The 27,278-nt window shown below is 39.2% G+C and overlaps 1 protein-coding gene across 1 annotated transcript in view, besides 3 other annotated features; it reads left to right on the top strand.

Annotated features, from left to right (window-relative positions):
• Nucleotides 1-20,270, top strand: part of TPH2 (tryptophan hydroxylase 2) — a 93,596-nt gene extending 73,326 nt beyond the window's left edge. Inside the window, exons 9-11 of the mRNA NM_173353.4 lie at nucleotides 10,229-10,324; nucleotides 19,088-19,221; nucleotides 19,351-20,270. Coding sequence (NP_775489.2) covers nucleotides 10,229-10,324; nucleotides 19,088-19,221; nucleotides 19,351-19,525 — 405 coding nt within the window. The 3' untranslated portion in view covers nucleotides 19,526-20,270. The remainder of the gene's footprint in view (nucleotides 1-10,228; nucleotides 10,325-19,087; nucleotides 19,222-19,350) is intronic.
• Nucleotides 4,939-5,233: an enhancer, noted in NCBI's record as "tiled region #15256; K562 Activating DNase unmatched - State 12:CtcfO, and HepG2 Activating non-DNase unmatched - State 12:CtcfO". NCBI's record gives its function as "activates a minimal TATA promoter and a strong SV40 promoter by Sharpr-MPRA in K562 cells, with weak activation in HepG2 cells {active_cell/tissue: HepG2 | K562}" and the evidence as "EXISTENCE:reporter gene assay evidence [ECO:0000049][PMID:27701403]".
• Nucleotides 4,999-5,168: a silencer, noted in NCBI's record as "silent region_4660". NCBI's record gives its function as "represses an Ori minimal core promoter by ATAC-STARR-seq in GM12878 lymphoblastoid cells {active_cell/tissue: GM12878}" and the evidence as "EXISTENCE:reporter gene assay evidence [ECO:0000049][PMID:35858748]".
• Nucleotides 25,179-25,680: an enhancer, noted in NCBI's record as "NANOG hESC enhancer chr12:72431129-72431630 (GRCh37/hg19 assembly coordinates)". NCBI's record gives its function as "activates a minimal SCP1, AML or CMV promoter by ChIP-STARR-seq in primed H9 embryonic stem cells {active_cell/tissue: H9 hESC(primed)}" and the evidence as "EXISTENCE:reporter gene assay evidence [ECO:0000049][PMID:30033119]".

The raw sequence follows: 27,278 nt of genomic DNA on the forward strand, positions 1-27,278 counted from the left end.
ATTCAACAACAACAACAACAACAACAATAACAACAACAACAACAAAAGTCAGACCCTCTTCCTGATTCCAGGAAGCTCAGGGTCTGGTGGAGAGGACAGGCAGGAAGACTGGCAGTTTCTGTGTGGATTCGTATGGGCTACACTGGGGAAGGGAGGAGGGCCACCTAACCTGCCAGATGGACACGAATCAGACGAAGGGGCTCGGCAATGACAAGAGCATTCCAAGCAGAGAGAACACAGTGTGCAAAGGCCCAGGTGGAATCTGCAAAGAGCAGGATCAGTCTGTGCAATTGCCACTAGTTCCCCATGGGGTGGACAATTGGGAGGAAGACGGTGGAGCAATGAAGGTTGAGAGAAAGCGATGGCTAGACCATGGAGGGCCTTTTCTGCCACATAAAGAAGTTTGGACTTTTACTCTAGAGCAATGAGACCATGAAGGTTTGTCATTGGGCTACCAGATGGTTGTCATGACCTACCATTGAGTCTTGGAGATGGGAGTATCTTAGATGGATCTTGCCAGAGTTTTAAGTGTGGGCCAACTCCTTGGGTGGCACCAATGTCAGATGAATGCATGACATTCCTGTTAGTCCTTAAGTGAAAGGAAGAGATTGGGGTATATTTCTTTTTTCTTCTTTTTTTTTATTTTGGAAAATACCATTAAAGGCTGGTATAGGAAGTAGTGTTAAATAAGAAGTCAGGTGGCCTTCTTTGCAGTTGAAAATGCTCCCAGATAAGCTGAGGAAGGGGCAATAAAACTGAAATGGCCAGAGTACACTTAAACACAATCACCCATTTATTCTTGAAAGCAACCCAAAAGATATAGGAAACAATAGTTAAGAAACACACAGAAAAATTCAGACTAAAACAGTGCTGCTGAAAATCGCCTATGTCGACATATTCTTCAATAAAAGTTGTTTTCTGCTGACACTTTTTTTTTCTTCCACGGATGTCCCTCTTATATTTGATGATCAATTTTCCACAAGGTTTGCCATAATGTTTCCTCAGAGTTTAGGTTTTTACATTTTAATTCATTCGATGGCTGTTCTTAACCTAAGACAATGTATGCTGTTTTCACAATTCAGTGTCATCTTTTTCTAGCTGACAAGATGTTTCTCAAATCCCAACTCTTCTCTTTTCTCCACATGTTTTTCCCTCTCTTGCTTTGAGGAGAATCACTGGTAAAAGAGGCCATCTCTGCCGGTCTCAGTGTAGCCTGTGATCTGGTACATTCTGTAATTTGACTGACCTCCACCTTCCTATGATGTGCCTTTTGGGTTCCCTGAAATCACCCCCATCCCTCCCAATACCTCAGGCCAGTGTCCTAGACCATTTACTTTTTCCAATAACTTCTCTTCTTGCAGTCCTTCTAAGATCCCATTTCTCCTTCAAAATTTGACACAAGCTTCATATTATTCACATCCTGAGACAGATAAGCAAAGATGAATTCAAGATTGAATGAGATGTTTGTGGTAGGAGTAAAAACAGGAGAGATTTATTATTATCATTAGTCTCTCTGTATCCCTATCATGCCTTTCTTGAGCAGAGAGACCATCTCTTTAGCTACCTTTGTCATCTCAACTAGAGCTTAGCACAGTGGAATTTAGTACATTTAATTTAAAAAATGTGATTTGATGAAGTTGTGACCTACTGATCGCTATGGACCAGCCCTAATGTCTTCCAGCTCTAAGTTTCTAGCATTTTTTACACTCTAGCTGGGGTAGGTGGTAAAGGGGTGAGAGTGGGAGGGGACTCTGAGGGGTCTTCACCTTTCCAACAGCTTTGCTATGAAACCCAGTGAATGGTGGGTTTCGTTGAGAGGCTCGAAGAGAGTATATGGTAAAATATGAGAATAGAAATCTAGGTGTAGCTGCAGTCGTGAAAGGCATTTGGACCAGTGGTACTTGGAATTTATATGATGACTGCCTCCCAAATCTGTGAATGCTTGATTAGTGGCTTCCTATTGCCAAAGGGAGGCTTCAAGATGTGACATGAGTGGCTTGTGATTACAGAGCAGCTGCAGCCCCAGGATTGCACAGAACCATGTTAGTGAGGACTAGAACTCTGGACCAGCCCTAACATCTTCCATCTCGAAGTTTCTAGCATTTTTACCCTCTTAATTTACATTTTACATAGGACTAGCCCAGGGCAAAATAATAAAGCATGCAAAAACCTATTTTCTGCTATCTCTTGAAGCCTAGTCCCAGAATTTTTTTTTTCTTTTTTTCTTTTTTTTTTTTTGAGAAGGAGTCCCACTCCCTCACCCAGGCTGGAGTGCAGTGGAGTGATCTCGGCTCACTGCAACCTCCGCCTCCCTGTTTCAAGTGATTCTCCTGCCTCAGCCTCCAGAGTAGCTGGGATTACAGGCGCCCGTCCCCATGCCCAGCTAATTTTTGTATTTTTAGTAGAGATGGGGTTTCGCCATGTTGGCCAGGCTGGTCTCAAACTCCTGACCTCAGGTGATCTACCCGCCTTGGCCTCCCGAAGTGCTGGGATTACAGGCGTGAACCACCGTGCCCGGCCCAGAAAAATTTTTAACTCAAGAATGCTTGCCCTGCAAAACAAAGCATTGGGGTAGTTGTTGATGCCTTAGTGTGATTTGGCTTTATGTGTGATTCTTAGGAGTATTTGGAGTTTAAATGATTGAAGAAACAACAAAAATTGATGTCTGGTGGGAGGTTTGGATGAACGATGTTGGGATAGATATTTCAGAGGCAGTGGGACCTCCATAGTTTAAGCAATGCAGCCTCTGTTTTCACTTTTGGTTCCCAACGTTGATTTTTATTGCCTTAAAACCTCTATTCCAAAGCTTTTTGTTTAGCTATGAAGCCTCATTCTTATTTCAGTACTATTGTCATTTGCAATTTAATCAAGATTAAGGAATCTTGGCTAAAGGTGGGAAAACACTTGCTGCTTGTAAACTGACATTTTGATATAGCAAAATTCCAACTCTAGTAGCTAGGGTAGGTGGTAAAGGGGTAAGTGGGAGCAGACCTTGAGGGGCCTTTACCTTTCAACAACTTTGTAAGTGTATACATTGACATACTAGTTGTCTTCTCAAAAACTAGATGGAAAAATGTTAGTAAAAACACTGTGAAAGGAAGGCTGTGAGCCACAGAGCCCTTTTATGTGGTTTTTTTTTTGGTTGTTTTTTTTTTTTTTTTTTTTTTGAGATGGAGTCTCACTCTGTCACCCAGGCTGGAGTGCAGTGGTGCGATCTTGGTTCACTGCAAGCTCTGCCTTCCGGGTTCACGCCATTCTCCTGTCTCAGCCTCCTCAGTAGCTGGGACTACAGGTGCCCACCACCACGCCCAGCTAATTTTTTGTATTTTTAGTAGAGACGGGGTTTCACCGTGTTAGCCAGGATGGTCTCGATCTCCTGACCTCGTGATCCACCCGCGTCGGTCTCCCAAAGTGCTGGGATTACAGACGTGAGCCACCGCGCCCGGCTTTATGTGTTTTTATCTGCACTTAACCAAAGCTACAGCCGCTGATGTTAGAACATCTTTGAGTGACAGTCTTCTTTTCTGAGATTTATCTTTTTGTTATGACTTGGGCCCCTAACAGCACAGATGCTTGCTAGACTTGCATCTGAAAGGACCCTGGAATTCCCAGCTTTATAGACATTGAGCCTTTATTTGCTAGATCATGAAGAAGTGGCAGTGGTGGGGAGGGTGCGGGGGATGAAACCTAGAAAGAGATGGGGCAGTGTCAGTGGCTGGGGTCATGGGGAGCATAAGGTGATAGCTACTTACACTCATCCTGGAAATATTTCAGTATTTCAACAACAGGAATGGCTGTGCCAGTGTGACTGACTGATAGTGGCCTTGTATCCATAAGTGCAGTTACTGATAAGAAAAGAATGCTGGATTTGTAGATGGGAAACTTGTGCATGATTCCTAGCTCTGGCAACCACTAGTTTTGGAACCGGGCAAACCACTTGAACTTTGAGTCTCAGTATTCCCATCTATAAAATGGAAATAATAAGTGCTCTATCTACTTCACAATGGGCAGTAAGATAACATATGTGAGAACACTTTATTAAATGAGGAAGCCTTCTTCTGGTTGAGTTTTCCTATTATTTTCATATTTCTATATAATTGATGAATTATACAGTTCTTTAGTGATAACGTCAATATGGAGCGTTTATTTACTCAAACACCAAATATTGTATTGATGAACTTTTTGGGTTGGGCTGCTTTTTGGACATATTTTTCTTGTTCCCCTTCTAAGTGAGGGTGTGGGTTTGGAAGCTACGTAACTAAGCTTTGTTAGAACTGTGTACAAGATAAAGATAACTAGGGTCTGAGGACCTGAGGGAGTATCTTATAAGTGAAGTACACCCAATTTAGCCTATAACTTTTTGTTATGTTTGGCACATCTCAAACCAATCTCAAATCCATCTTAAAAGGGCCCTTTTAAGTTCTCTTTGATAACTTCTTGCTTCCTGCCTATGTGCTAGATATATAGTTAATGGAATTCTAGATGTGGAATGATGTATGTGATTATTTTAAAATATATGCTACCAATATGCAAGATCAAATTTTTAGGGAAGGCGATAGGGAAAATATATCACTCAGTCACTTCCTCACTTGCTTACTCAGGAATTTATTTCTTAAATGATGTGTGTAAGCCAATATCCTGGAGGAAGTGAAAGAAGTAGGCAACTCGGGCTTCCTCCTAGAAGTTTATATGTATCATTTTAATCTAATTTATGAACATTCAAGGACCCTCAGGAAGAGGCTATGTAATTATTTCAAGGAGGGATGCAGAGGGAGTGAGAGGAGGGAGGCAAAAGGGCCCTTCAGTAGGGAAATGGGAATAGTAAATTTCTTTCCCATCAAGTGTTCTTTGACAAAGTCATACATCTCTTTAATTGTGACCTTAGCAAGAACTTCAGGTGCCTAATGCCAAACATAAGAAGGGTTTTGCATAGAGTGCTTTTATAAATCACCAGGTGGCACCATTACATATTTTATTGGTGTGATTCTGTGTCTGTGGACTTGGTCCCTTCAAGCTTTTGCCACTGCCCATTTGGCTAGGCCCGAACTGCTGCGAGAATGGTGTACTACCAGTAGTGATCTGAAGATGGCAGCATTGGGCGACCTATCTCATTTTCCTAAGCACACTCACTGCAGCTCGGGTCGACAGCGTGTTTGGATTTCAGATTGTCACTCAGACTTTCTTCTGCTTAATGACTGCATGTATGTAAATGCCTCTGCTATTCTTCCATAAAAGAGGTCTGAGCTATCATTTCTGTTTTGGTTTTTAATGATTATATGTAATTATATCCAAATAAAATATTTATAAATAATTACATGTCATTAATAGTATGTAAAATTTGGAATTCATGAACACCAGCTTTGATGAAAGATACCCTTCAATTTGGGAGGTGTTAGTCTTAGTATTATTATTTGTTTCTGTTTAAAAGACATTAGTGGCCAAGAATCTGCAATTTTCTTTTACAGGTGTTCTTACAAGTCTCAGCATATTTTTATTTTTTTGTTTTCTTGATAATAGGTAGGATTATTCATTTGGTAAATCTCTAGGGAATATATTATAGATCCACATCTGGAGAATTATCTGAGGAAACCAAATTATATTTTCTTAAACGTTCATGAAGCAATTAGTTATCCTCAACTTCTGAAGGGTCTTCAAGGGGTCATCGAGTGCAACTCTAAGTAGGCTTTGCATTTAAAACCAGACTGTAGCAATCAATGTGTGGTTGCCCTCTCCTCTTGATTAGTGATCATGCCCTATGCATTCTGAGGTCTTCACCAGTATTGAAAACAGAAAGAGAAAAATTATCCTGAGCAAGTTTGTGATTCAAATTTTGCTAATAACTTAATTTCAGATGCAACTTACCATTTCTCTTTATCTCTTAACAACACATGGAGCTGCAAATAGAAAACTGTCTCAGACTAAAAGGTCTAATTCTCTAAACAGAATGGGCTGTAGAAACAGCATTTAGGGACCTTCCTTGGTTGAGGACAGCAGGAAACCAAAGGGAAAGGTAGATAGGGAATGAGCAGATGGCACTATGTAAGGCCAGAGTTTCTGGAAGGACTCCCAGATGAGGTCTGGGGCCAGAGAGCATTCTAAGTGATGGGAAGGAAGAGCACAGGGGCTCTTTTCCTCTGAGGTTGCTCTGATTCTAGAAGCACATTAACCAAAGACACACTGGGTGAGAGATTTATCTTTGAATCTTTAGTTGTATTGATGCAGACCTACCTTTTAATTCCTACCTTAAACTAGGATGGTTTGCCAAATCTATGTGAAGACTGTGTCTATGGCACACCAGATTTTTTCAGAGGCTCTCTTAGCGTGTTTTGGTTCAGATCATAAATGTGACCATGAATTATGTATGCATTGATTCAGCATAAAAAAATTAAACATGTGCTTAATAGGCTGACCCAAACGCTCCTGTAGCTGGCTCTGAACGTGTATTTTGGATGCTTTTGAATTTGATAGCACATTTTTTCCACGAGCTCTTCTATATTCAATGTTAAGGCTCCAAGGATTTCGTGTCAGGTGTTGTAAGTGCAATATAAATTAGGAAAATCAGCCAAAGGCACACTAAGAAGATACTGTGACATTCTAGTTTTCCTCCATTTTAGACTTTTATTTCTCCATTATTTGGTTGTGAAGGAAAATTATGCATCTATTAATTTTTTATCTAGAAACTTTAAAATGTGACAGATGTTGATGTCAAGCTCCTTAAAATCCTGAGCTCTAGATCTCTTAAATGTCACCATCTAGACTGCTCCTGGGTAAATCACTTCATCTTCCTCAACTTGAATTTTCCTTTTGGTAAAATAGGAGAGCTGAACATCCCAGATACTTCCAAGCCTTTGTGCTTTATTCTATGACTGTATGATTACTTCCCTTCATTGCACCCAGAATTATGCAAATTTTTTAGAGGATATACTTGGAGGCTGTATTTTAGCTTTTCAACATGTATTTACATTATTTATCTTGGTTCTTCTCCTAAGGGCTCTGCGATATTTACTTCTCCCAACCCCCTGCCATCCCTAGCCCAAGTCATACTCGTGTTCACTCACTACTCTTGTGTGCCACTGCCATCTAGCTGGTCTGTTTCCACTCACTTTTGCTCCCCTACAATCTATTTTCCATGCAGTACCTCCATGACCTTTTGAAAGCTAAGTTAGTACATATCTTTCTCCTGCCTAAAACCCTCCAGCAACTTCCCATTGCTCTTGGAAATAAAAATCTATTCCTGCCTCAGGGTCTTTGCACTTGCTGTCCCCCCTTCTAGGAACATCATTTTCTCTATATCCTTGCACAGCTGCCTTTTTAATTTCTTAATGAAAAGCTGCTTTTAAAGCTGTTTGCAGCTTAAACAATACCCCTTCACTGAAGCTGTCTCTGACCCTTTTTCTAAAATAGTCACATTCCCTGCTTAATATTTGACATATTATATGGTTTTGTTATACATAGAATGTATTCCACCTGACATTATCTGGCTATTGATTTTAGTTTTTGTTATTGCCTGTCTCATCCCAGTAGCATATATGCTTCATGGGATCACAGGCTTTGTTGCCTTGTTCATTGCATATCCTTAGCATCTAGGGCAGAGTCTGGCATGTAATAGTTGCTCAAGAAGTATTTGTAGAATAGGTGAATGAATGAGTGGATGGATGTCACAGAATAGATGAATGAATGGATGGATCGATGTCACAGGCAGGAAAACTACAACCCCGGGGTTGGAGTCACATAGCTAATGAGAAGCAGGGCTCAGACTAGAACTTGGATCCCTTTGTGTGTTTCTTTCTTCCAGGTCATTCTGCCACATGCCAGCTTAACTTAGAGATCATTAATTCATTTACCGTTTATTTATTAATCCAGTGCTTATTAGGCTCTTGTTATCTTTCAGACAATAGTCTAGATCAGTTGTTCTCAACCAAGGATGATGTTGCTCTTCTGGGAACATTTGCCAATGTCTGAAGACATTTTTGGTTGTTACAAAGGGGGTGGGAGTGCTACTGGCACCTAGTTAGTAGAGGCTAGAGATGCTGCTAAACATCCTACCATGTACAGGACAGACTCCCACAATTATGTAGCCTAAAATGTCAATAGTGCTGACTTTGGAAAACCTTGTCCTAAATGAACAGACACCTGCTTTTTTGGAGTTTATAGTCTAGTGTTGGGGGATAGATGATAAGCAGCACATATCATGCATATGGAAATTGCAGTCTATGTAAAGAAGTGTTTCATAGAAAGAATGAAAAGATGGAACAGAGTAAGGAGGAGTGGTAGTAAGTGCTGTAGGTTGTGATGGAGGGTAGGAAGGGCTGTTATTTTATTTTATTTTATTTTTGAGACGGAGTTTTGCTCTTGTTGCCCAGGCTGGAGTGTAATGGCACGAACTCAGCTCACTGCAACTTCCGTCTCCTGGGTTCAAATGATTCTCTTGCCTCAGTCTCCTGGGTAGCTAGGATTACAGGTGCACCACCACGCCCAGCTAATTTTTGTATTTTTAGTAGAGATGGGGTTTCACCATATTGGCCAGGCTGGTCTTGAACTCCTGACCTTAGGTGATCTGATCCCTTTGGCCTCCCAAAGTGCTGGGATTACAGGTGTGAGTCACCACGCCCAGTCTAGGGCTGTAATTTTAGCCTCTTTGGGAGGTGAATCAGGAAAAAAAATTTTACTTCTGGAGGTTAAGCTCCATGACCTGGAAATGATCAGTCCTTTGGGTCCAGCTCAGTGCTGCAGAGCTTTGGAAAATTCAACTTCAGAGATCACCCTCACATCAAAAAAATATATAACCTTCCTGAACCAAGGGACATCTTAGCCTCCAAATAAAAATAGAGCAAACTGACACGTGCTGGAAATAATTATTATTTTCTGCCCCTTTTCAGGAGTGTTTAAATTCCTTTCTTAACACCTTCAGTGCTCTATCATCATTAATGCAGGACAGTGCTAATTTGATGGAATTTTTATTGCTTGTTGTCAGCATCTCACTTTTCTTTCAGAGCAAAAATAGTGCGAGTTCAGCCTCTCTCAACAGCACTGTGAGTTTTTTGTTTTTCTTTTTTTTTCTTCTCGTTGTGCAAAGATTCCTCCGTCTGTTTAGGTTGATTTCTTAAACCCAACAGAAGCAATTGAAGATATTAATGTCCTGGGGAAGTTGTAGTAGTTGATGCTGATAAAACTTGGGCCAATAAAGTGTGTGTGTGTGTGTGTGTGTGTGTGTGTGTGTGTGTGTATGTGTGTATAACATCCGCCCCACTGCTTTCCAATTTATATTAGATCAACTTACAGTTTTTTTTTTTAACTTCATGATGGTGTGAAAGTGATATGCATTCAGTAGAAAACACACTTCAAATTTGGAATTTCGATCTTTTCAACACTTTATTATGAAATAGGCTTTGTGTTAGATGATTTTGCTCAACTGTAGACTAATGTAAGTGTTCTGAGCACTGTTAAGGTAGGCTAGGCTAAGCTAGGATGTTCAGCAGGTTAGATGTATTAAACACATTTTCAACTTAGGATATTATTTTCAACTTATTGGGTTTATTGAAATGTAAACCTATTGTAAGTCGAGCAGCATGTACATACACAAATACATATATAAACCTACATGTGCATATACATATGCAAACATAGATATATATTTAAGATTTTACTAAAAAAGTATATTAATATTGTGGTTTTGGTAATTTGGTAGTCATATAGAGGTACTTGCTTTCTTGGTTGCTCTCTTGTTTCTTTACCACAATTCTTTACCAAGCACTGGCACCAATGAATATTTGTTGAATAAATAAACAAACTGCCAAAAACAGTTAGCGATTACTGGATTCCAACTTATTTTTCCACATTTGCATAAACTGATTTATGTCACTGAAACAAAATTTGGTAAATATATAGCATATTGTTACGGAGGTATCATTGTGATATAATTATTCATTTCTACATCTGTGTTTTTTGTTTTTAAAATGATTGCAGGGGATATAATTTGACTCATAGGGCTTCTGAATTCAGGAAGCGTAAGACTCTTAGTAGTTAATACTTTTTTCATATACATTCAACCTAGGGAGAGAATACTGAGCAAGAGAATAGATTTCAATAAATGTTCTTGATTTAAATGTATTTAAATTGATAATATTGAAGAAATTATGCACAGCCCACCATTTTGTTTTGGGTGCCATTTAATCCTATCAAATAACTCATTGACCAGTTCACTGAATATGTGTTCGTTTTTCTTCAGTGCTATTTCTTCACAATCGAGTTTGGCCTTTGCAAGCAAGAAGGGCAACTGCGGGCATATGGAGCAGGACTCCTTTCCTCCATTGGAGAATTAAAGGTATGAAGCTGTGAATGAAAATACCCTTCCCATGCAAACTGGTTCAAGGTCAGGGAAAATATTGATTTGTTTGTCTGAGCATTTCTACTCACAGATACTCCATAAATATTTAACATAGAGGATTTGGCACCTCGGATGTGGGTGCCGACCTCACTTTTCGCACTTGTGAAAATGGGTCATGCCTTTCTGGATTTGTGGTGTGACTCAAATGGATGAGCAGCCACGTGTACAAATCAACAGCAATGACAAATGTATGCCCAAATCTTGGGTAACAAATGGCAGGCCTAAATTTAGTGCTAAAAAGTGGGCCATGAGCTAGCAGTGATCCTACTGACTGAAATTCACTTGCGAATGTGGCTTGGCTACTCTGATTTCCATCACCTCCCTGGCTCCTTTGGACTCCCCAGCATCTACTTCCTAAAAGGGAGTTTGATGTTGTTTCAGCTTCTTCAAAATTAATGTGCATTAAAACATGTGTGGACATAAACAATTTGGAAAAACAAACCAAACAAGTATATTATCAGAGAGGTATCTATTATGTGTAATGGTGCCTAAAGAATGTCACTTTGTTTTAAAATACAATAAAATGGTCACTTTTTTTTTCCAGAAATGTTGAGACCTGGAATATTCTGATAATTTAAATATTCTGGTCTTTTAAGAATTGCCATTTATACCATGGGGGGATAGCAAGTTTTGATGCATTTTAAATGCAGTGTGATACACAATCTAGAATAGTACTGAAAATAATTTAATCTTTCTTTGACTATTCAGACTAAGGTCAGGATTGTGGACCATTCTTGAGTTTTTATTTTGAGCATTGATTATCCTTATGTAATATAAATGGGAAGTATATAGTTATTGGTACTTTTTGGCCATTTGCATTATTGAAAGATGCAAAGTAATTGTAGTTTTATTGAGTCTGGTCATTTTATGACTTCATTCATTCATTCATTCATTCATTCCTCAAACATTTGGTTGAACACCTAGTGCCAGGTACTATGGCAGTCACTGGGGATAAAAAGACAAGTAATAATGATGAAGAATAAGAAGAAAGGCCAGGTGCATTGGCTCATGCTTGTAGTCCCAGCACTTTGGGAGGCTGAGGTGGGCGGATCACCTGAGGTCAGGAGTTCAAGATCAGCCTGGCCAACATAGTGAAACTCCATTTCTACAAAAATGCAAAAATTAGCTAGGCATGATGGCGGGTACCTGTAATCCCAGCTACTTGGGAGGCTGAGGCAAGCACTTGAACCCAGGAGGCGGAGGTTGCAGTGAGCCGAGATCGCGCCACTGCATTCCAGCCTGGGAACAGAGGAGACTCTGACAGAAAAAAAAAAAAAAAGAAAATAATGATAACAGCCAGAACAAGCATTTAAATAGACAATATTTCTGGTGCTTTAGACATATTAACCCATGTAATGCTCATAAGAACCCAATGAGATAAGGGATATTTATATCACAGATGAGAAAACTGAGGCATAAAGACATTAAGGAACTTGCCGAAGATCACACAGTTAATAAGTGTTGATCTGGGCTCAAATCCCAGCCATCTAGGCTCTAGGATCTGAGCTCCTAACCACTAGGCTGCACTCCCTGTGATCCCTGCCATCAAAGAGTTTACAGTACATTTTAGTGCAAGAGATAAACAACCAATCACATAATACAAAAAGTGTGACAATGAAAGAAATGTGCCTGGCTCATATTAGGCCATGCCTGAGAAGCCTTCCTGTCAAGGGCCCTGCTGTCCATGCTGATTCTTGAGGAATGGAAAGGGTAAATAAGGAAAGGATGGGGTGCACCAGTCTGTCAGTGGAGAGCCACGTGTGGACCCTCAAGATTCTAGCTGAAGCCTGGTCCATTGAAAGAACTGTCTGGGGTTCACTGGAAAAGAGGATAATAATATTCAACCTAACAAAAAACTGATGACCTGATGTAGTATGGTAATTTTTTTAAAAAGTAAATTCTCAACAAAGAATCTATTTGGTGTTAATCTTAGTGCAGTGGGCAAAGCCCACAGCAACAGCATAATGCCATATCCCCAATAAGGGCATGCACTCTATAGAGTGTTTCTTGATTTCCCTGAACAAAAGAGTCAGAAAATGATGTAGCTCTTGAGCTGTGTCTATTTACATCCTCCTCAGACGGTTTATAAGTTACACCAGAAACAAAGGAAACGGATCTCTCTCATGGCCCTGACTTTCCACAGGATCTTCTGGTCTGGTTAATGAGGCATGTGTGGGCAGCACTAGGATGAATCTGTTGTTTTTGTTCCTACTGGTGTGGACAGAATCGTCTGGAAATGGAAATCAGCCAGAAATACGTACCAAGAAGGGCATTGTTCACAGAATACCTTCTTGCTCTGGTCCATTACCTCTAGTCATTAACATTCTTCCATTCTCCAATTTCTATACCTCAACACCCCTAAGATTGCTACACTGGACCATTTTTACAATTCAGAAATACTTTCTATGTGAAATATCTTCTGAGTTTTCACAGAGAATACGTAACACAAGATGCTTTCCCTAGCATCTCTTCCCCCACATTCTCCTTGCCCTGCTTGTGAAAGTACCCAGAGCCCTCTCAAAGCACTTCTGAGTACTTTTAACCTTTATTTGAATGAAAAAATGATAGTCCTGGACCCATGTAGGGATAACTTTATTAATAGCGTTATCATAATTCCTGTGTAAACAAGCTTACAGTTTTGAGTGCAGTTACCTTTTGCAGTAAAATATTTTATGCTGTTCCAACTGCAGCCCAAATGTAAGTCCCAGCTACTGGAGGGTTTTGGGGTCATCTTTACAACTTTTTAGATTGGGTTGCTGGAGGTTTTGGTGTCACCTTTATAACTTTTACATAAGTATCCACAATCATCTTCTCTTCTTAAACAGAACACATTCTATACTTTGTGCTATAAGGGGCTAAATTTTCCTGAGACATAGATGTTGTTCTTTAGAGCTGGCCAAGTACTTCCGAGTGGTATACCTATAGTTCAGATAACTTTCATTTTTTCCTCTTATTTTTTGACAATACTAATTCTTTTTGAAGATAGAAACAAAATAAATATGGAAAAGCTTGTAAAAGTTAGCATAAATCTTACAACCATAAACACTACTTTTTCCCCCACAGCAATGGTTGCCCCTCTCTTATTCTAATGATCTGTTCTGTGGTGTACTTACAGGAATGCCAAAAAGTGCATTTGGGTGGGGCTTTTCCATACCTTTCATAACTGTGGAGAACAATTAACAATGAGCTGAGTCACCTGGAACACTGACTTTAAAGAAAAGGTTGAAAGTAGGATTATTGCCTTACCCACAGTCTAGCTTGTGTCTTTCCTTTCACACTTTTTCTCTTTATCCTGAGTTGATCTAACTATATGTCTATCGTTTTTTTGATATATTATTTGCTTGCTTATTCATTAATTTTGTTCAACAAACACAAAATTGATGGTCCAAGATTTCAAGAACTTGGAATGTAGTAGGGAAATTCTAAGAAAGTGATGATACAGATCTTTGTTGAGTCCAGTTCTCTTGGAGAAGTGACAGTAAAGTTTGTTCACTTCAGGTGGTGAGGAAATGATTGCTAGCCAATGAACTGGCTGAGTCTTGTATCAAAAAGTTAACCCATCTCAAAAGCAAAAGGCAATTTCTACTCCTTTTTCATGAGTAAAGGTAAGGTCTAGATATTTATATCTTTCAGGCCAGAGATTAGATTTTTTTTTTTTTTAGCATCCACCCCATAGTAGTTGCTGACATATTACATATAAACACATCTGTTTCGCTCTTTGGGTTTTGAAAAAGCTGATGGTTTAAACAAATTTACTTATTATTTTTTGGCTTTAGTTTTAGGATATCTTGCATGGCAAATTTATTGTGTTGCCTTGATATAGCTATTATCAAGCTTGAATGGCTATTCTCAGAATAGCTTTATATTTATTACAAGCAATTTGTATTTATTACCACTTGCAGCAACTCTGGGAGGTGGTCAGAATTAGTGCTAGTCTGTATAGAAGAGGCCCAAGGGCCTTGCAGGTTCTCTGATGTCATCTGTTTGGTCAATGGTGTGACTAGAGTAAGGACTCGCTGCTGCTGAGCTCTCACGTTTACCCTGTTCAGATGACTTTCGAGTCCCTTCCTCCTGCTCTTTCTTCTCATGAAGTTAGTGGTGTTGGTAATGACAGAGTAAATGCTGGACGTTGGGAGCTGGAAACTCTGTCTTTGGTTTTTGTGGAAGGATTGCTTGAAGATGGAGGTTGTTCCCTCAACCCTGCAGCTTATTCAAATTGGTGAAGCCTAATCGCTAATTTAAAAAAGTGTAATGCATCATTGCCTAATTTGGCAATGGGGATATAGATGTCACATTGTGTTTGTTTAGCAGGATGAGCCTTTGAGGGAGGCTCAAAAATATTATATACACACATAATGCATTTACACATATACGTATGTATATATTTGTTGTTCTTTTGATGTGGAAAAAGATGACTGTGATGTGAGTGTAAAGTGTTTGCAAATTCTTATTCAGAATCTAGGGCCCAAACTATTCACAAACCTGACTTCACACTTGAGTTTTTTTTTTTTCCAACTTTAACCAGTCTTAATATAGATAGTGAGTGTCACAGGGTTTGCATATAGAATAGTCGAGATAATAACTGTCATTGAAAAAGCAGGTGTCTGGGAAGAAGGAAGATTTTAAACTGATGAACCCAGGGCAGACACTATCATAGTCTAGGACCTGAAAGCCTCAGAGCTGGGGCCGTTTAATTCTCTACGGGTTTCAGACCCCTGAGGGAGAAGGGCTGCACAAATGGTGGAAAGTGTGACTGAACACATATGTACACAAAGCATCATCTCTGGACTGAATTAGTGATGATAACTAAATATACTGAGCACTTCCCATGCCAGGCACTTTGCATCCATTACCTCATTTAATTTTGACCACAACCCCAGGTTATAGATATGACTATTAGTATTTCCATTTTCCAGATGAATACTCAAATAGGCTTACAGAGGTAAAGTAATTTGCCCAAGGACACGTAGTTAGGTAGAGATGGAGTCAGATTCAAACCTCAATTCTTAACTGTAAAGACCTGTGTTCTTAACCATAAAGACCTGTATTTTTAATTACCTTATAGTATTGTCTACTAATAGTTGGATTCTGGGAAATTTTTGATATTGAAAAGAAATTTTTATATTCAAAAAGCTGGAATGGCAAATAAGTCTTAACTTGTGCGCCAAAGTCAATTAATTGGTAGTAGCCGCCTCTGTGGAGAAGGGTGGGAAATCCATCCGCAGGCCCAGTGGGAAAGGCTGCTATGGTCAATTTACTGTGGCTGGTGTGGAGGGAGGTAAAGGTGGTGTGAGTGCTGTGTACTTGCAGCCTGTTAAAATTATATTTCAAGAAGAGTCTTAGAATTCATCTAGGTCAATCTTTTCAGTTTATCAAAGATAAAGCTGCAGCCCAACATGGGGTAGTTTCACTCATTTGATATTATACGTCTAGCCTCTGGGGACAGCTACATTTAGAACCCAAGTCTCCTGGTTCCCAGCCCTGTGCCCTTGTCTCTAGCACTACGGGTAAATCCAAAATAGTCCTTTTAGAGGGTGTTCTGATGAGAGAAGGTGACTCTCAAGCATTCCTGTACTTTAAAAATGGCTTCAAAGTAAAAGATTGTCAACCAGATTCTGTCAGCATTATAAAGCTTCTCTCTGCAGGAAGTTGGATTAATTCTTGCAAACTTCAGGATATCAGACTGCTAACATTTCAAGACAGAATCACTGCAGAGTTCCCTGGGGACATCAAGTAGTTTGGTTCAATGTTTACAGAGAATCCACTCTGGACATAGAGAAGAGGGTACAATAGCTGCTCCCCAAAACTGAGGGGCTTAGAGAGAGACCTGGATAGAAAATGAGAAGCAAACTCAGTCAGACTTCTCCATTGGGCAATAGAAGTTGGAATCAAAGACATGGATGCTATTTTATACCCCTTGGGACACACTGTAGTATTCAGAGATAGGAGACTTCATGGGCTGCATGGATGTTCCTGGAACTCAGCACACAGTCAGCTCATGGTCAGGTAAATGAGGCCATTTATATGGGTGACATTACTTCATTTGTTGGCTTCATTCACTGGCTGCTCCCCCATCTCCAGGTTCTTGTCATTCTCCAGGCTAATCCATGGGTACCATTATTACCCCCATATTCATTAACAGCCAAACAGCAACACTGGTCCCATACTCCATGGGTGGAAAGGTCTCCAGCAGGTAACCAGCATATCACACGCATAGCAGACTCCTGAGGGTAGGCTGCGTTTTTGAGAACTTAAGACAATTAACTTCCAGTTTTTCCTTTAAATGTTACATTGGTCAAGCGTGATCTATATTCCTAATGGCCTGCCTCAAATTACATGTGTGTGAACCCACTGGTTTTTCTTGAAGTCTGGGGCAGAGTGCCGTATGCTCTGGGCCTTTTCTTGATCTACTTTAATGCTTTTTAGCTGTTAAAATGACTAAATACGTATCTGGCTATCCAGTGGAATTGTCACAAAATGATATTTTTTCCAAAACCACACTGATTTCAGTCTCTGTCATTGCATACACACCTCTGGAGGCATCCTCTATACATAGTGACTGCTAAGGTTGCTAATGTCTTATAGAAGCAATGGAGACACAAACAGATGAGTTTCACTTCTTTCTTGTGCTTGTCCTTGACCCAGTGAAATGTCTTTAGCTTAGCAAGGATGTCCCAAGGGAGCCATGGCTTTAATGTTCTTACAGCCTATTCTGCTACCACTCTGGCCATGACCCTGAATGCAGGGATGAGAGAGTAGGAAGACTAAACACATTGAGCCAGCCACAGTCCTTTCCATATGTACTGATGGATGAATGGACTGTTAGAACAACGTAGTACATTAAATGTAACCAGAGTGTACGGATGCAAAGAAAGCTAATTCGAATTCTGAAAATCATGGCAAGCCAACAGGAAGCCAATTTTTTGCAGAGGGGCAACAACTTTCATAAAGGGACATTTTGTTTCTTGAAACTGTGAATATGTTTCTAAAATTGTGGACAGAATTATTGGTCATGTGGAACCAAAATCCCTTGATGTTCACTGCCCTGCATTGAATCTAGCACAAATGCATTTGCAAGTGTAGTGACCTTCTGCTTATAATGAAGTTGTTCTGTGGGCCAAAAAAAATGAGTTCACGCTGAGAGGCCCTCTGCATTCTGTGATTCATATATGCATTTATCTGGACAATGGAACTTTGCAGGAAAGCAAATCACATGCAGGGTGCCCTTTCTCTTACATGTCAGTCTTTTGGTTCTCAATTGCATTTTCAAACTTAGGGAACCACAGACTTCTTCATGGAGGGCTGTAAATCATTCCATGCATTTTGAAATTGTTGGAGGAATGCACGAAGAATATTGAACAGGAAAGGGTTTTCTGAATTTCTCCAGGAAACCTTAGCTGTTAGAGACTGAGAAGGTAGAAAAGTATAATGGGTGGAATCCAGAGGCTGGGATAGAGATTGTCTTCAGAATCTTCCCGCCTAAAACTCTCATTTACAGTTGAGGAAATGGAGGCACAGGGAGGTTGAATGATTGCTGAGGTTACCCAGTTAGACCTGGACTAAAGCCCCAGTTTTCCAACTCTCAGTTCACGGCAGTTTCTGCTACCCCATTTTTTCTCTCTGCCTCTCTCTCCCAACTAATTTCCCCCTTAAATTAAGAAAAAGAATTAAGAGGAGTATTTCTCAATATATAGTTCACAACCACTTATATTGGAGTCAACTTGGATGCCTTTAAAATGAAGATTTCTAGGTTTCATCCAGACCTGCCAAATGAAATTGAGACCCTGGATATCTGCATTTTCATAAGCTCCTCAGTGATTCTTATGCACATTGCATTTTTAGAACCATCAATCTAGGGTCTATAAATAGGCAGCACATGGCAGGAAATGACCACTAACTTTTAACATCACTGAATTTATCTTGAGAATATAGTCATTCATTGTTCCCTGCTGTTCTTAGTGCTAGTCATGTAGTGAGCTGAACGGAGCTAATGATGGTTCAAAGAGTAATTACGCCAGCTTTCCTGTTTTTCTAATACCTGCTCTTGGCATAACTCTGACTATTAATATTAGCTCCTTTTTTCCTCAAGTGGCAATATTTATCTGCTGTATATTGCTCTGCTGTACTTGGTGGAAGGTAAATGAATGCTTTTTAAGTATCCTCAAATATACAGGCCCACTCCAGACTCTGTTGATACACAGTACCTGGCCTCAAAATATCTCCCAATGAATAGACAAATAGTTTAGTCAGAGCCCCAATTACCTCTCCATGCAGATAATTATTACTTCTGCCATTTAAGTGAAATTTTAGTACATTGCTTATAGCAATAAATTTTGGAGCATATTTATGCTGTCCCTGCTTCTATTCATAGCATAGATTTAAAATCCCATTTCTGTGGGGGAATAGCTCTGAACTGTCCTTCAGTATGAATTTGGCTGGTAATAAATTAAATAATACCACAATCTCATTTTCTCCCACAGTACCTAGCATACTTAAAAAAGCAAAACAAACAAACAACCAAACAAAATCCTAGTTTCCAATTTACCCTGCACACAGGAGAGTTCCATATTTCATGACAGACTAGTAACTGAGCAGCTCTGTAGGATTACCGAGCTATCAAATGTGTTGTAAAAATGTGATGTCATGGAGCTTCGGAAGTCTCATTACAGAGTTTAACAGGTTTTGTGGTATATTTTGCAGCACGCCCTTTCTGACAAGGCATGTGTGAAAGCCTTTGACCCAAAGACAACTTGCTTACAGGAATGCCTTATCACCACCTTCCAGGAAGCCTACTTTGTTTCAGAAAGTTTTGAAGAAGCCAAAGAAAAGATGAGGTAAACTTTTTTTTCCTCCTAGCTAGAGAAAATAACTTTTTATTTTTCTGTCTCTATTCCTTCCTTTTATCTATCCCTCGTACCAATGAGGGTTGATCACATCTCTTTCTACTTCTGTTTATTCTGCAGGGACTTTGCAAAGTCAATTACCCGTCCCTTCTCAGTATACTTCAATCCCTACACACAGAGTATTGAAATTCTGAAAGACACCAGAAGTATTGAAAATGTGGTGCAGGACCTTCGCAGCGACTTGAATACAGTGTGTGATGCTTTAAACAAAATGAACCAATATCTGGGGATTTGATGCCTGGAACTATGTTGTTGCCAGCATGATCTTTTTGGGGCTTAGCAGCAGTTCAGTCAATGTCATATAACGCAAATAACCTTCTGTGTCATGGCTTGGCTAATAAGCATGCAATTCCATATATCTATACCATCTTGTAACTCACTGTGTTAGTATATAAAGCACCATAAGAAATCCAATGGCAGATAACCACTCATTGTATGAAATAACGTATTATGTTTAAACATCTTAAAAAGATTTGACATTCCTGCTTAGTGTCCTTAACCAAACTGCATCTAGTTAAAATTTGTAACAAATAGCCCTCTTATGAGTCTCATTTATGCCCTTTTCTTTTTCAGATCTAAGCCTTTCCTCTGTGTTCATTAGATAAAATGAAAAAAAGCAGTGAAGCTGTTTCCATTTTCAATAGTATCAGTGTTTTCACGCATTATTTGAGATAAACCCAGAATTGTAGGAAACTTCCCATCACAATAACAAAGGTTCAATATTCTATTTCAAAAATTGTTGAGGTAACACAGCAGTTGGAATGATTTTTAGGTTGAGTATTTACACAATGCAAGAAAACACCTTTTTACAAATGGAATTATGTAGGTTGCGTTGACCTTGTAGAACCTGAGTTATGACAAGCTTCCTGAAGTATTTTGGAAGATAGTACTTCCGGAAAGGACATTAGGAAAGACTAAACAGTGGACAATCAATCTTGGGACTATGAATTTTATGCTGGAATAAAGTAAATTATCATGTTCAGGTGTTTAAACAATTTTTTTCTGGTCAGAGGAGAATAAAATCACAGAGCTATAAAGATCATCTTTGATTTCAGAGATGTGGAAATTGAGTCACAGAGAAGTTGTGATTTGCCTGAAGCAGTACAGTGAGTTGTACACTAACATTCACAGTCCATTGCACTTTCCTTTTGTTTTGCTGATAAATTCGTCCCAGTGCTTGCATGTGTTTCTGTGTCATCCGAGATGGGAAACTTCATCTTGGTGTGTGCATGTGTTAATATGTCATTGGAGATAGGAAATAATGCCTATCCAAACTAATGTTTATCAGTAAATAGAACTTGGTTTGTGGTCAAGGGTTGCCAACTGTATATATGTTGTTTCCCCTCACAGCTGCAAATCAGGCCAAATCTATGGAAGGTTCTCCACTTTCCTAAAGTTTGGGCAACTTTGGGTAAACAGTAGTGATGCAGCACACAGTTTTGGTGGTCTTTGCAGTAAAAGATGAAATTAAGTGGTTAAGTGAACAAATAGAAAACTGCTGAGAGTGAATGAATTTCTTTGGATTCCCTCACTGAACATAACTACTGTTCTTCTGATTCTGCATTTGGTAGTAAGGAACACTGGACTGGGGAAGGAAGGGGCAAGAAAAACTAGAGAAAAAAAATGACAAAATAACCTTTAGCAATTTAAAATATTTACTTGAGCAATTTCCAAAGATGTTCTTTTAGTAAGAAATTACATATAATTTTAAACTAATTCATACTCTTATGTGGAGCCCACAAAGGGTCAGAAATCTTTGGACTAAATATATTCAGGAAGAACATGAGAAAGAGCTAAAAGACACATCAGGGAGAGATCAAACTAAAATGAAAACCCAGAGGTTTGAATATTGGTTGTCTTAACGATTGAGGATCTTTTATCTCTGAAGCATTCTCAGAACAACTGAATTTTGAGAAATAATTTGGTGGATAGAATGTGAGAGTCACAAAATATAAATGCTATTCCAGGTGAAGGGAATAGTGCCTTGAAAAATTGGTGGTGGAGAAATGAGGAACAAGCTAAACCAAATTTAAAAGATCTAGATTGATCAAGCAGTCATATATTTTGATAGTTTCATAGATCCATAAATATATAGTTTCTTATATCTTGCTTTGCTAGCTTTAGATGACCCTGAATAAATTACTTATAAATTAGAATCCAGAATCATAATCCAGAATAGCATATCCACAGATTTTCAGAACTGGTTGCTGAATTTTCTCAGAGAAGAAAATTGGCTAAGAAATGCTCAATGTCTGCCTTCGGTGTTGTTTTCATAATTTGGTATTGCTTTAGACACAAGTCCTAGAGTCCTGTCATATATATTCATTAAAAAACCCTTACAAGTAGCCATCAAGCTTTCCCCTTGTAGTCCCATGAGATTAGAGCTTCTTAATTAAATATACTTGAGAGAGAATTATATTTAATTGTAAACAAATTCCCTCAACAAAAAAATAGCATTTGAAGTGCCTTCTGCTTGGCTTGTAGTGGAATCCAGTTTTCTAATATGTGCAAAAATCTATCTTGTTTCAAAAATAAAAGAGTTGCAAAGTAAATGGGCTTTCCCACAGAGCTTATATAGGTATCATACAAGGAAGTGGAATTACTTGATTCTTTTTAGATTTGTTCTCCATTTGGAATAGCAGTAACCGTAGTTTTCCCCCTGTGAAACAATGGAATCATGGTTTTCATTTGTTGTGAGCATTTAACATGCAAATGCCATTACAGCTAATGGTGGGAAAAATCCTATAAACTTTAATAGCCATCATAGGAAAAGTGTTGGCAGAAAAATTCCCCGTAAGGAAATAGTGTAACAAAATAATCACAGCCAGCTTCTTGTCATATTTGATACCTGCTCAGTGTAACCATTTATCTCAATTATGCTTCATGACTTAAAGCTAAATTAAATAGATCCAAGGGCAATTATAAATTTAAAGACACTTGCTCACTGTCATCTCACTGTGAGTTGTTACTTTATTATGGCTTTGCTGCTGACTTCTGTAATCAGCTAATCAGAAATCAACACAAAATTCCTGGCAGGACCAGGGTGCTTACCTGTCACATTTTGCAAAAGATAGCCAGAATCTGATTAGTCCAGTTTTATTCTTGAAGCATTTTAGTCTATTATGAGTTAGAATAAGGCATACAGTATATTCTTGAATGTTCCTTTTGTTTGGCATAATGAAAGCATAATAGACTATTTATAAATTATACCTTTTGAGAGTGGGAAAATTTGAACTGAAATTTCTTCTTCCTTTTTTTTTCTTCCACATTAGTGGTGAAAGTTGTGAGACTTGGGTTTCTGACTTAGTCTCATTTATGTACTGTGTAATTTACAAATGACGCTTTATGGGCATGATGTATCTGTGCTTGTCTTGCTTATAGTAAATGGGCCTGAGCCTAATGGTTGTGAAGTATTGCAACATTTACCAACATGAAAAGTCTACAGTGAAAAACAGTGTGCTTTAACGTGAAATCAAATAGAAATACAGAGTTTCATTTTCAAATGGAGTCATGGCTGGCATCACCTCATTTTCTTCATTCGAGGAGGAAAACATTAACACAAGATGTAGTTGTCCTCCAATTCATTTGATCTAATTTTCAACTTCTAAAGAATCAAGTCTTGATGTTTATTCTTTCAAACTTGTCTTACTTATAATGAAGAAGAAAGCAGTCCAGAGTTTTCTGGTGTGTCTGAGGTTTTTTTTTTCCTTTTGGGAAATGATTCTTATGCAAATTGTCATGTTCTGGGGACACTCAAAGGAATTAACAATGGGAGACTGCTTCTTGTAATATTAGATTTGCAAATGTTTGAAATAAAACCAGTTCTAGAACATAAAATGATGGTTCTTTATAATGCGACTTGGAGTTTCAAAACATTCACCCAGTTTCTTGGAACATGTCAGGCGCAATATCAGCATTGTTTTAGACGCTGAGGATGTAGTGATGAATAAAGCAGAGGAGGTTTATACCCACTTTGAGCCTACATTCTAGAGGGAGATACAGGCAAAACAAAACAAAACAAAAAAACAGATGAGTTGAAATCACAGCAAGTTCTATGAAGAAAATAATCACAATGATTTGATAAAGAGAAATGGGGAGATGGTGTCAGGGTTAGGGTTTTCTGAGCAGGTGGCATTTGACCAAGAACCAGGGATGAGATGGAGCCAGGCCTGAAGAGGGCCATGGTTAGCGTGTTCTCAGAAGAGGGAACAAGAAGGACCGAAGGCTCCAAATCCAAATTGGGTTTATGTGTTTGAGGAAGAGACAGGTTGTCCGTGGGTGGAATGGAATTATATGAGGGCAGCATGGAAGACAAGGATGAGTTAATAGTACAGGGTTCCACAAGAGGTCAGGAGCACTCTCCGTGCAGCGGAAGGTCACTGGAGGGATGTAAGGAAGACAGTGACAAGATCTGATTTACATTTGTAAGAGCTTACTCAGGCTGCTCTGTGGAAAGGGAGTGTAGTGGGGTTAAAGGGTGGGTGTGGGAATAAGGGTAGAAGCAGTGAAACCAATTAGGAGGCCATTGCAATATTGGGGATCTGCAAAGTCAATATCTTACTTGATCATGGTGGATGTTATTAAAAATAGTTGTAATTAAATAAGTTACAAAGTTAAGAGGGTAGGCGCCATCAGGTGAAAAGCAGAGAAACTGGAATGATCTGTACCTGGGTTGATTCTCATTTGGCTGGAAAAGAAGGCATCCAAACATATGCTGTGTCTTTGACAAATACTTAAAGCTTCCTTTGACAAACATCATGTGAAACTTTCTCTGGCCAGCTTTTAAGGGAAAGAAAGCTACACTGAAAAGCAAACGCATTTTTTTTTTCTTGTGACTCACAGATATTGACAACAGAAGCAAAAATGACACAGAAAATGAGGTATTATTGGTGAATGTTGGTGGTGCTGACATATAGGGTAATTCAGGAAAAAAACCTCTCTTACCTCCAGGCAAACTGAATAGTTGTGTTCACTGTTCACTCTGCTATTTCTGTAGGAATAAGCCATATAAACGTTAGTGGATTAGTTAAGTCTATTTCCACTCTTATCTCTGCCTCTCATCTCCCCAAATGCATAGTTCAGATATTCCAGAAAAGGTTCACCTGCTGTGATTTTGTCCTCTTTCCAAGAAGGATGGGTCTGGTGCAGCAGCTGGAAGTATATTTCCTTCTTTGGGAAGATTGCAGTGAGCCTGATGTTCAGCCCAGGGGCATCTGTGGTTATGGTGCCTGCAAACAGCATTCTCATAATCCAGTCTGGATACAGTTTTTATAATTGAACAACAAAAACATCTGACAGATGTGGGCAGGGTAATTTGAAAGCTAGATGGCACAAAGAAATCAAGTTCATTTTCTGTCAAAATCAAATCTTTAAAAAATGGTACAAAACTAGTCCTTAGTTTACAGGTTGAGAAAGGTAATATTAATTACAGGCAGGTGGGAGGAAGTTCCTGGTCCCTCCTTCACTCCTAGATCTCTTGCAGTCTCCTTGCTTTTTAGCTTGTTCATTTCCATGGAACTAGCAAGATTGCTGATTCAGTAGGTCTATTATTCCCAAAGGTTTGCAAACCACTGAACACATCTAATGTACAGCTTGCCCAATTTTAGCGAACAGCTAACTTCACAGACGCTAATGAGGCCAATTATTGGCAAGTGAATTTGAAGTGAAGAACACATTAGATTTGCCACTATAGCTGTTATTTGTTTATCAGGATTGATTGAGGCAAACTTTCTTTTGATCATTACATCTGATTGATCACTGCACATGGCATTATGAAAGAATGAGGTTTCCAAGTTAGATAGCTACTTGTAAGAAAAATCTCTACCTTGCAAGGGCAGAACATGTTTCCCTATCCATTTCAGTGTGAAAGCCTAGCCATTAAATTGGAATGGATCCTAATTAGTCTCCTTGCAAATCTCTAAAACTTTTTGGTCTTTCCTGTTGAGCAGAACTTAAAAGAAGCCTAAATTTCTCCCTTGCCCACGTAGAGTCAATATCAAAGAAAATAACTTGCATGGTAATGCTGCTGAAAATGAGTGCAGACATAGCAATCTTGATTTGAAGTGGCATTGGAAAGTATAATTTGATTCACCCAGCCAAATGATTACTGCAAGTACAGATCATCAGCATGGCCCACTCCAGGACATTTGAATTGCTGATGAGCTGACAGCTAATTGCCAGACTGAGTCTGCCTCTTGAGCTTCTGCCTGAGAACAGAGGGAAAAAGCCCCATAGCTCCTACAAACTCCTAACCTGGACGGAGGCTATTTTTCCATGTTGGAAATATGTCTTTTAGGATGATTGTCTCTCTGATCATACCGACCAGCTGTTGTTAGCCCAGTATCCATACCTTCATTGTCCTATAATTGCACCATAGTTTTCCTTTTGTGAATCCTGTCCCTGGGTCTTATTCCTTACCTTGGGTGGGGCTGATTCCACTTCTCAGTTCTAGGGGTGGGCTTATGACCAATGTTTAATCAGTGAGCTATTATATTCTTCTGGTCACAATGATTGGTTCATAGGTAGGCCAGGACCTGGGTTGGGCCAATTAAAGCCAAACCCTGGACTTTTCTGAAACCATTGAGAAAGAGGTGTGCTGCTTTCTTCTGTAATTGTAAGGTGGTAGAAAGTGAGTCTGGAACTTCCATGGACCACCAAATAGAGAATGCAAGGCCAAGAGTAAAAGATAGAGACAGTGTTTTACAATTTCTTTTTTTTTTTTTTTTGAGACAGAGTCTCGCTCTCTCGCCCAGGCTAGAGTGCAGTGGTTGGATCTCGGCTCACTGCAAGCTCTGCCTCCTAGGTTCACGCCATTCTCCTGCCTCAGCCTCCCGAGTAGCTGGACTGCAGGCACCCGCCACCGTGCCTGGCTAATTTTTTTTGTATTTTTAATAGAGACAGGGTTTCACCGTGTTAGCCAGGATGGTCTCAATCTTTTGACCTTGTGATCCGCCCGCCTCGGCCTCCCAAAGTGTTGGGATTACAGGTGTGAGCCACTGCGCCCGGCCGAGACAGCGTCTTTGGCCTGGCTGTGAAGCTCATGACATTGTCAAGCTCACAGATTTAGCTGTGCATGTAGCTAGATGTACCTTTAGACTTTCTAGGTCCATGAGCTAATAAATGACCCCTCCTCTCTGCTCTCATTTTCCTTCATGCTGTCACTGGCATCAAAAAAGTTCTAACATCCATGATGAAAGCAAGAGAGAAGGGGTAGAGGATTTTAGATTTGCTTTCTTCACACTTTTCCAGTTGGTTCTGGGAATCATAACTTCCTGAAGAAGTACAGGCAAACCTCAGATATATTGTGGGTTTGGTTCCAGACCACTGCAATCAAACAAATATAGCAATAAAGTGAGTCACACAAATTTTTTTTTTGTATTTTCAATGTACGTAAAAGTTATATTTATACTACACTGTAGTCTAGTAAGTATGCAATAGCATTATGTCTAAAAATGTAGATATCATAATTAAAAATACTTTATTGCTAACAGATGCTAACAGTCATCTAAGCCTTCAGTGAATCATAATCTTTTTGCTGGTGGAAGGTCTTGCCTTGATTTTGATGGCTGCTGACTGATCAGGGTGGTGGTTACTGAAGGTTGGGGTGGCTGTGGCAAGTTCTTAAAATAAGACAACCGTAAACTTTGCCATATTGATTGACTTTTCCTTTTATGAAATATTTCTCTGTAGCATACAATGCTGTTTATAGCATTTTACCCATGGTAGAACTTCTTTTAGAATTGGAGTCAATACTCTTAAACCTTGCTCTTGATTTAAGAATTATGTTTATGAAATATTCTAAATCCTTTGTTGTCATTTCAATAGTTCATAGCGTATTCACCAAGAGTCAGTTCCATCTCAAGAAAACACTTGCTTTGCTCACCCGTAAAATGCAGTTCCTCCTCTGTTCCAGTTTTATCATGAGTTTGCAGCAATGTAGTTACATCCTAAGACTCTACTTCTAATTCTAATTCTCTTGTTATTTCCAC

The sequence above is a fragment of the Homo sapiens genome, chromosome 12, assembly GCF_000001405.40.
Source record: "Homo sapiens chromosome 12, GRCh38.p14 Primary Assembly".
Lineage (NCBI taxonomy): Eukaryota > Metazoa > Chordata > Mammalia > Primates > Hominidae > Homo > Homo sapiens.